At 47.3% G+C, this 9,828-nt stretch overlaps 1 long non-coding RNA gene across 1 annotated transcript in view; it reads left to right on the plus strand.

Annotated features, from left to right (window-relative positions):
* Nucleotides 1-9,828, plus strand: part of CACNG2-DT (CACNG2 divergent transcript) — a 63,214-nt gene that overhangs the window by 43,558 nt on the left and 9,828 nt on the right. The window lies entirely within an intron of this gene.

Raw genomic sequence — 9,828 nt, forward strand, 5'->3', positions numbered from 1 at the left:
GACTCCTGCTCCTTCATGTCTCCACAGAGAGGCTGCTGCTGGACACCTCCTCCCTGCTAAGACTCCTTTGGAGTCTTGTATAGAGGGTTCTGTTCTTTTCTTTCCAGTGATTTTTACAACCTGTGGTTTTCTACGGGATTGCAAACTGACTTATTGTCTCTCTCCCTCACCAGCTTGTGTGCTCCATGGAGCAAGGAGTAGGAGGCTCATCTGCCCTGTCCAGCTCTTAAGCCCCTGCACCTACAGCGGGGCCTGGCTGGTGGCTGGTGGTCAAAAAGCCAGGGCCTGTTGAGACACAGGGGCTCTGTGTCGAGGCTGCTCCTTAAACGCTTCTTGCCTGCACGCTGTGCGTGGAAACCCAAAGAAGTGAGAGACGCGAGGACTCCAGGGATTGCTAACCCACTAGTGTCATGCCAGAGGCCCCAAGGCAAAGGCGCTCTCAGCCAGGGCAAGAGACCGACTGGGCTCAGGCCTCCTAGCCCCTGCTGGGCCTCTCTCCAGTCCTCTCTGGGGCCATGGCAAGCCACTCTTCCCAGGGGTCACTCACCGGGGACCCAGGCCTCCTAGTCCCAGAGCTCCTTTGGACGAAGGGTGGAGGGCAGCAGACTCCACCCCTGGGATTATCCAGGATAGGGTCACAACAGCAGCGGCAACAACCGAAACAATAGGGTGAGCGGCGAGTGTCCCACTCAGCAGGGGCTGGGGGGTCTGCAGCTATCGCCAGGCTGTGAACCCTCAGCAAACATCTGAAGTAGGTGATGTTAGGGCCCAGAGAGGCGAAGTGACTTGTCCAAGGCCACTCAGTGAGGTAGAGCTGAGCAAAGACTCGCACCCAGAGGCTGTGTGATTCCAAAGCCTTGGGTGCCGCGTGCAGGTGAAACCGCCCCACATTGCTTCTCGACCGTCACCACCTTCTGCCCCTGAGATCAGCAAGCACCTGCAGGGAGGTGGTTGGGAAGGGCCTGACCTTCCTCTGGAGGTTTCCTGAGATTCACAGAGTCTGACGGTAGCTGTGACATCGCTAGGAGCCTGCACTGGGGAACGCAGGTCATGGGCCCATTGCGTCCTCAGCCGTAACGTAAAACAGTTGCCTTGGCTTCCTGGGGTGGCTGTGAAGGTTGAGTGAGAGGAAACACGCTGGAAGAGGCTTTGGGGGAGATTCTGGGAGCACAGTGTGGCTCACAGGGGTTCAAGCCCCTGCTTGTACCTTGCATTCAGCTTGCCCCTGGGCAAGGTTGCTGCTGTTGGAATCTACAATGAGGCAATGAGCCAGGAGGCAAAAAAGACTCACAGATGTCGAGAAGGAGCCTGAGGTCACAAGAAGCAGCCAAGTGTCATGTCATCTGTCTGGGGTGCATTTTCTTCTTTTGCGCAGTGGGACACAAACAGCCACTTTAAAGAGTTGCCATGTGAAATAAAATCAAGATACAATGTATGAGCTGCTGATTTTTTTGAAAATAATAGGATACTTGTTCATGCAACTTTCTTCTTTGCTTAAAAACTTCCTTTCATACTGCAAGAATCCACCATAATCTAGAGGGTACATGCCTTAAACAATTTTTTAATTGATATATCATAGTTGTACATATTTTGGGGGGGTATATGTGATATTTTGACTGTCTGCTTTTAATTTAAATGCCATCTGATAAATGATATGGTGACCAGGGGATTTCTGGACTTGGCACTATGAACTCAGTACAGTCCTTATCTCAGAGTATTTGATGCTTACTGTTGGAATGGCTTGGTCAATTGAAAATTAGGTCATTTGGGCCGGGTGCAGTGGCTCACGCCTGTAATCCCAGCACTTTGGGAGGCCAAGGCGGGCGGATGACCTGAGGTCAGGAGTTCGAGACCAGCCTGGCCAATATGGTGAAACCCCAACTCTACTAAAAATACAAAAATTATCCGGGTGTAGTGGCAGGCACCTGTAATCCCAGCTACTCGGGAGGCTGAGGCAGGCTAATCACTTGAACCCAGGAAGTGGAGGTTGCAGTGAGCCGAGATTGTGCCATTGCACTCCAGCCTGGGCAACAAGAATGAGACTTCATCTCAAAAAAAAAGAAAAAGAAAATTAGGTCATTTTTATCCACGGACTAGTTCTTTTTTGGGTACTTGTAATCAACATATAAATATACTAGTGTGAACCGGAGAGGGTACATTGAAGGTAAGCAATGCATCATGGCGTCCACCCAAGAGGGAACCTCCAACAGCACAGGCTGTAGGGCCAGAACCAGCCTGTTCTCCATTTTTGTGTGTAGTTCCATGCTTCAAATGTATCTTAATTTTATTTGCTTTTCTCAAACCTGAAATAAATTTTAGTTTTTAGCTATAGCAAAAACAAAAAAAATAAAAACAAAACAAAATAAAAACAAACAAAAAAAACAAACAATGCAGCAGCAGCCGCCACAGCAAGGTCATTGCTCCCACACATGGGTCTCCTTCCCGCCCTCTCCCTGTCCTTAGCGAGGTCCCAGTGCTGAACGCACCCTGACCTTTGGTGGTAGAGATCTTTGCTCCTAGTGGGATCCTACAACTCTCAGAACAACAGGGTCCCCCTGGACTGTGAGCACAGTAGAACCAGCTCTTTCTTGGGATTTTAAGAAAACAGACAAGCTTCGCGCACAGCTGGGTTGCAGCAGTTTTTTTCTTTTCCTTCTTTTTTTTGCTTTCAGCCGTGGCAGCCTGCTCTTGATTTCTCTGGAAAGGCAGCTCCTAATTAGAATGGATCGAAGAGTCTTTGCTTCAGCTTTGTTCTCGGTCTCGACTGAATCGTTGCTTTAGGGCTTAATCTGGTGCAGCCGCTGGTTGGTTGATACCCTTGGTTCTCTGAGCTCCTCTCTGGCTCGGGCAGGCTGGCACCCAGGGGGCACCAGAGCTCTGCAGTGTCACTCTGCTCCCTCTCACTCCAGCCCTCTCTTCCTTCTCTCTTTTTCTCTCCACCTGCCTTCTCTCTCTCTAATTTCTTTTCATTAACGACCCAGAGCTGTCCAGGGTGCCAGTCCCCACTCCTAGGAGTGTAAACTGGTACAATTTATCTGGAGGGCAATTTGTCAAATGCTATTAAAAGCTTTTTTAAAAAAGTACGTAGACTTTGACTTGGAATGTCCCTTTCTAGGAATGTATGTCCTGCAGAAATAATTGGACAGGGGTCCACAGATATGTGCAAGGGGACACTGTCCTTGGCTGTTTTCCTGAGTGACCACCTGGAAACCTGGTGTCCTTCAACTGGAAATCATTATGCGTGGGTCACGTAATAAACCAACTGCAAAAGAACCTTTGGGAGTAAATCAGGGAAATTTGACTGTGGACTGAACAGTAGATGCTCCTAAAGAATTACTATTAATTTTATGTGGTGTGATAATGGCTTTGTGGTTGGTTTAGAGGCAGTGACTGGAGGGCTGGCATTTGGTTTAAACGATCGTAACCACCACCATCATGGCAGGGGAGCAGGACAGAGCAAGTGCGGCAGGATCTTGGAAGTTCCGAATCTGGCTGTCAGGTAAATGAGCGTTCATCATGCTGTTCTGTTTTTGTGTAGGTTTTACAATTCTCACGATTTAAAAAGAAATAAAAAGACCATGTAAAATCACATATATATCATATATATGATATATATGGGATATATATATCATATATGATCATATATATCATATATGATCATATATGATCATATATATGATATATATGAGATATATGAGATATATGAGATATGATATATATGAGATATATATGATATATATGAGATATACATGATACATATATGCATCATATATATGATACATATATGTATCATATATATGTATATATGATACATATATGATATATATGATACATATATGATTTATATATCATATATATGATATATATGATTTATATATGATATATATGATATATATGAGATATATGAGATATATATGATATATATGATATATATGATACATATGATATATATGATATATATGATACATATGATATATATGTTATATATGATATATATGATATATATGTTATATATGATATATATGATATGATATATATGTGATATATGATATGATATATATGTGATATATGATATGATATATATGTGATATATATATGATGTATATCACATATATATCATATATATATCATATATGTCACATATATATCATATATATCATATATATCATATATGTCATATATATCATATATATCATATATATATCATATATATCATATATATATCACATATATGATATATATCATATATATCACATATATCACATATATATGATATATATCATATATATCACATATCATATATATGATATATATATCATATATATGTGATATATATGATACATATATTTGAGACAGAGTCTCGCTCACTGTAACCTCCCCATCCTGGGTTCAAGAGATTCTCTTGCCTCAGCCTCCCGAGTAGCTGGGATTACAGCTGCCCACCATCATGCCTAGCTAATTTTTATATTTTTAGTAGAGATGGAGTTTCACCATGTTGGCCAGGCTGGTCTCGAACTCCTGACCTCAAGTGATCCGCCCACCTCAGCCTCCCAAAATGTTGAGATTACAGTCGTGAGCCACTGCACCTGGCCTAAAATCATATTTTCTGACCTGAAATAATACCCACCAGATATTGTTAAATGAAAAGAGATAAGTTCCAAATTTCATATATGGCATTATCACATTTTGTTTTTGGCTTCAAAATATGTACATATTTGTACATGTGGAGGAGAAAGGGAGGAGGTGCACATGCCTGGATGTGATGGGTGGCTATCTCTGAGTGGTAGGATTTGAATATTTTCTACTTTCTTCTTTATGCTTTTTAGTAATAGTTTCTTTTTTTTTTAAATAAACACACATTATTTCCATGCTTGTAAAAAAGCCATAGTTACTACAGATGATTTGGAAATCACCTATAAAGCACTGAACGTTTACTATATATCATGCCTTCTAAAAGTAGGTTTTATATATCTCCATCCACCCACAAAAACTGGTAAGGTTAGTGGTATTATTCCCATTTCATAAACAAGAAAATTGAGGGCCAGAGAGGATCAGTGCTTTGTCCAAGGACACACCGCTGCAATCCTAATTCCACTCGTCTGATATGAAAGCAGTGCTCTAACCTCTAAACCTTGGCTGCATCCAGAGGGTCTACAGGGGATGTCAGATGTAGCCCCTGCCCTCTAGATGGTGACCCTGTCTTTGCTCTCCTGGTCTCTTGCCCTCATTCTCTTCTCTGGTCACTCCTCTCTGCCCCCCGGAACCAGTTACATAATGGCTTCGGTGAAAATACACTTTCCCTCTCAGATCACAGGTGAAACTCGAAAGCTGCCCATTCAATATTTTCTCCTAATGAGCCTTCCTAGGCTTCTTGCCTTTTTAGAATGGAAACAAGCTCTTCGCTGCCATTCTCCTCATATTCATCAGCTCTGTTTGCTGGCAGGGCAGAAGAGTGAATGGGCATCGTATACATAAACATCATACGATCCACAGAGGGCTGGCCAGCCCGAGTTCTTAATCCTGGCTCCATCACTGACAATTTGCAACCCGGAGAAGTCACTCTCTCTGTGTTTTCTGTCTCTAAAGTAAATAAAGGATAACACACTTTAAAAATCAATTGGTGTTCTGAACAAAAAGGATGGGTGTGTGAAATGAGGACAACTCTAAGGGGCTGAAAATACATTTCCCCAAGTTTTGCAAATGCTGGAGATGGTGCAAGCCTTGTCCTACCTTACCCCTCATCCCCATCAGCTCTTGGTCTCCTTACCTCCAGGCACCTTCTCTCCCACTCCACCCTCCAATTCCTCCAGGCTGATCTTTCCAAAGCAAAAATCCAGGTGAGTCACTTCTGATAATGGCTCTCCACTCCCTTCTGGAGAAAGTCCAACTCCTCTGCTCTGGGTACAAAGAGCTCCATGTTCTTGCTTCATCCTTGTCTCTGACCTCACCTGCTGGGCACCCGTCTCTCCCCAAACCCTACAACGCACACGGTTCCCCAAGAGGGCCTCCAGCTTCATGCCTCAGGGCCTTTGCATATGCTTCCCTTTGTCTGGAATTCTCTTCCCTGGCTAACATCAGGTATTTCCCTGCAAGGTCCTGGAAACCCTTCCTAGGCAGCAGACCTGGAGCTCCTCCAGGCCACCTCCTCAGTCCTCCCTGATCTCCAATGCAGGGCAGGACCCTGGACAGAGATGAATGCTGGAATGGGAAGCACAGGTGCAAAACCAAAGGCTTCCTTCTGCATCTCCAGGATGGGCACCAATCGTCCAGTAGATGTGGCTTAGTGTAAATTTCAGTTCCCATCCTGGGATCAACTGAATCTGTGCTTCTTGCCACTCCAGCTTGGGCCAGGAAGTTTTTAGTATTCCATTTTTAAAACCACAACATTTTAGCACCAAAATGAATGCATTTTATTTATAGACATGGAAGCAGGTTGCCTCTTGCCCCCATCTCTCCTTCCAGAAGATGGTCTATCCAATGCATGTTTCCCAGATACGGAAAACTACAGGGCTCCTTTCACAGCAGAAACACCGTCCAGGGAAACCTGCCTGGCGGGCTTCTCCTACCCCATCCACATCTGAATGGATGCGGCAGGGAAGGGCCTGGGTGTCACAGAGGCAGTGCTTTGGAACTGGGCAACTGTTTCTGAACACCCACCCCAAACACGACCGGCCCCACAGTGTGTCCACCCTCCCAGTCACCTCGGCTTCCCCGCCCTCTCTGGCTGAATCAGGTGATGTCAAGAGGCAGCTCTAAAAGATGCTGCGGAATGGCCAGCCCAGAGCCATGGAAGAGGACAAGAGGCCAGGTCCCAGGCCAAACCGCTCTTACAGAAGGCAAGAATCGTGGAGGACAACAAACAGAACCTTCTTCGGAGATCCTAAAGGAGACAGAGGGGCGGTTCCTCTAACCTCCCTCAGGATTTGAAAGATCAACGCTTTTTGGGTTCCACTGGAGTTTAGAAATCAAGAGTCGGCTCCTTTTTCTCCTCTATGGATGGCAGGTGATTCTAGGGCAGGGTATGCATCTCTGGTGTCCATCCACACCTCCCACACTCATCGGACTTTACGGAGGTCCAGCGTTGGGCACTAGGAAAAGAAAGTGGTCAAGCTCCACCTCTGAGGGGTCACTGATGAGCCAATGATGCCTAGAGGGTGCCAGGTGCTATGACCTTCAAATCCTGCTTAAACATCACCTTCCAAGGAAGGTCTTCCCGACTTCCCTGTTTAATATTGCAGCCCCCACCCTGGCACGTCCTCTGCACGCCTCTGCTCTATTGCAACCTAACAGACTGCAAAATTTACCTATTCAATCAAACACCTCGCTCACCCCCCTTGAACGTAAGCACCCTGAGGGGAGGCATTTTTGTGTTACTCACTGACAAAATCCCAAGATATAGAACAGGGATTGGCACATAGTAGGTGCTCAGCAACTGCTTGATTCAAGCATTCATTCAGCAAATGCCTTCTTTCAGGAATAAAATCTGCAGACGCAGCATGCATTTTGTCAATGTTTGCTCATTGAGAGTGGGTTCTTTAGGCAAGTGAAGTAATTAATAGCCACTTGTTAGGTTCCCAAATAGTGCTGGGCACTGTGAGGATGTAAAATCTCTGATGTCCGGCTGGGCGCGGTGGCTTACGCCCGTAATCCCAGCATTTTGGGAGGCAGAGGTGGGTGGATCACCTGAGGACAGGTGTTCAAGACCAGCCTGGCCAACATAGAGAAACCCCATCCCTACTAAAAAATACAAAAATTAGCCAGGCGTGGTGGTGCATGTCTGTAATCCCAGCTACTCGGAAGGCTGAGGCAGGAGAATTGCTTGAACCTGGGAGGCAGAGGTGCGGTGAGCCAAGATTGCACCATTGCACTCCAGCCTGGGTGACAGAACGAGACTCTCAAAAAAAAAAAAAAAAAAAAGCTCTGATGTCCATCCACCTCTGGCTTCCTGTTGCCTTTGGAATAAAATAGAAATTCCTCCCACTGTGGACCCTCCCTATCTCACCTTCCTCTCCTTCCCCGGCACACACCAGGGTATGTCTTCACCGGCCTTAAGTTCCTCCATGTTCCAAGCTTGTTCGTGCCTCAGGGCCTTTGCACTTGCTGACCTTCTTGCTGAATCTCAGTGCAAATGTCCCTTCTTCTCATAGTCCTTCCTATCCCCCCAAACCAGTTACCCCACAAATCAACACCCATCTCAGCTCCGTTTTGTCATCTGCACTGCCTCAAATTATCTTGATCATTTATTTACTTGTAGAACCAGTTTATTGGAGAATCTCGAATCCATGGGCTCTGAAACAAAACCATTTTACTTTTTCCTAATTACTTTTTTCCATCAAGCTCTGCAGAGGTCCCCTTCCTGCTGGGTCTTCCTAGCAGGCTGATCCCGACACGTTTCAGACCATCCTAGTCACTGAAAGGCAGGCCAGGCCAGCTCAAAGCTTCCAAAGTGTTTGTTCAAATCTCTTTTCCAGAAGGGTGGGGAGGGGAGCAAGATCTTTTCTTCCTCTCTCTGGAGTAACTTGGAACAGAGGGGCCAGGGAGGAGCTGCGTGTCTTCTCCACAGGCCTCCTCTGGGTCTGGTTCCATCTGTTATCTCCGTGGTGGCAGGGGGTGGGGGAGGTACTTGGTTGTTTTGGGGCTGAGCCTCCTCTGTTGCTGGGGTCTCCTCAGGAAGGGGCAGCCACATTCCCCTCCAGCCCTGCCAGGGGAAGAGGCCCCCTGCCCTTTTCCAGGTAGGAAACAGCTCCCTTTGTCAGTACCTGGCTGGCTGGTCACATGACTCCACTCCATGTGGGTCCTTCTAGGAGCCTTCCGTGGAACACCCGTGCCGCCCTTCCAGACGCGGTCCTTGCTTTTCCCACTGCTGGTGCAGGCTTCTCCCCAAGCCTCTCCCCATGGAACGCCCCCCAGAGGGGACCAAACAGCTCTGGGGATGTGTGCTGAGCTTCCCAAGGGTGCCCTCGCCACCCTGTGCTGCAGCTGGCACCAGGTTTCTGCAGCTCAGAGAGCATCCGGCTGGGGGTGTGGTGCCAGCCCCCTCTTCCTGGCAGCATCCTGTCTCAGGAGGATCCTCTTGGGCCTCCTTCCCTTGGCGGGGCAAGGGGGTGATGGGGGGGGCACCCACTCACCAACACAGTGGCCACCCTCACTCCCATCTCTCTTGACCATTCCAATCTTATACAGACAGGGAGGAGTGGGGAGTAGGGGGAAGGGGAGCTCACAGCAGCAGGACCAATTCTTCCGCCTCTACTAGGGCCATGGGGAAGGGGGCTGGCCCTAAGCTTCCATGATCTCTTTAGGAGGTGGTTTATTTAGCATCTTTGTCCACAGCTGTGGCCCTGGTAACCAATTCTGGGGCAACCGGAAATGTCCCCGCTGCATCCCCTTGGTTATGGTGAGCCTTCCCTTTTGGAACATGTGACACGAAACCAGCAGCCTGGCGTTGCTAGTGCCTAGGAAAATGCCCGGCAAATGGTAGGCCCTTGGTAACTACTTGCTGAAGGCATGACGCGGCCGCTACAGTGGCTTCATGTTGAGTAACAGGAAAAGAAGGGGGACGCGAGAGCCTGACCTTGGCTGACACCGTGTGCCCAGATGCCCTGCACACCCGTTACTTCACTTCTCACAGTGACCTTGAGAGGCAGCCTAACCCCCACCTGCTCCCAGCCAAGCTCGGGAGGAGGCAGAAGAGGACGGCGGCTGGGAGCCGGGCTCTGGCGTCCACGATCGTGGCTCGGCCACCCCTTGGCTAAGTGTCTTAATTCTCTGACTCCAGCTCCTCATTTGTAAAAGGGGGATGGTAAGACTCTGCACTGTAAGGACTAAATT

Source organism: Homo sapiens, chromosome 22, assembly GCF_000001405.40.
Source record: "Homo sapiens chromosome 22, GRCh38.p14 Primary Assembly".
Classification (NCBI taxonomy): Eukaryota; Metazoa; Chordata; class Mammalia; order Primates; family Hominidae; genus Homo; species Homo sapiens.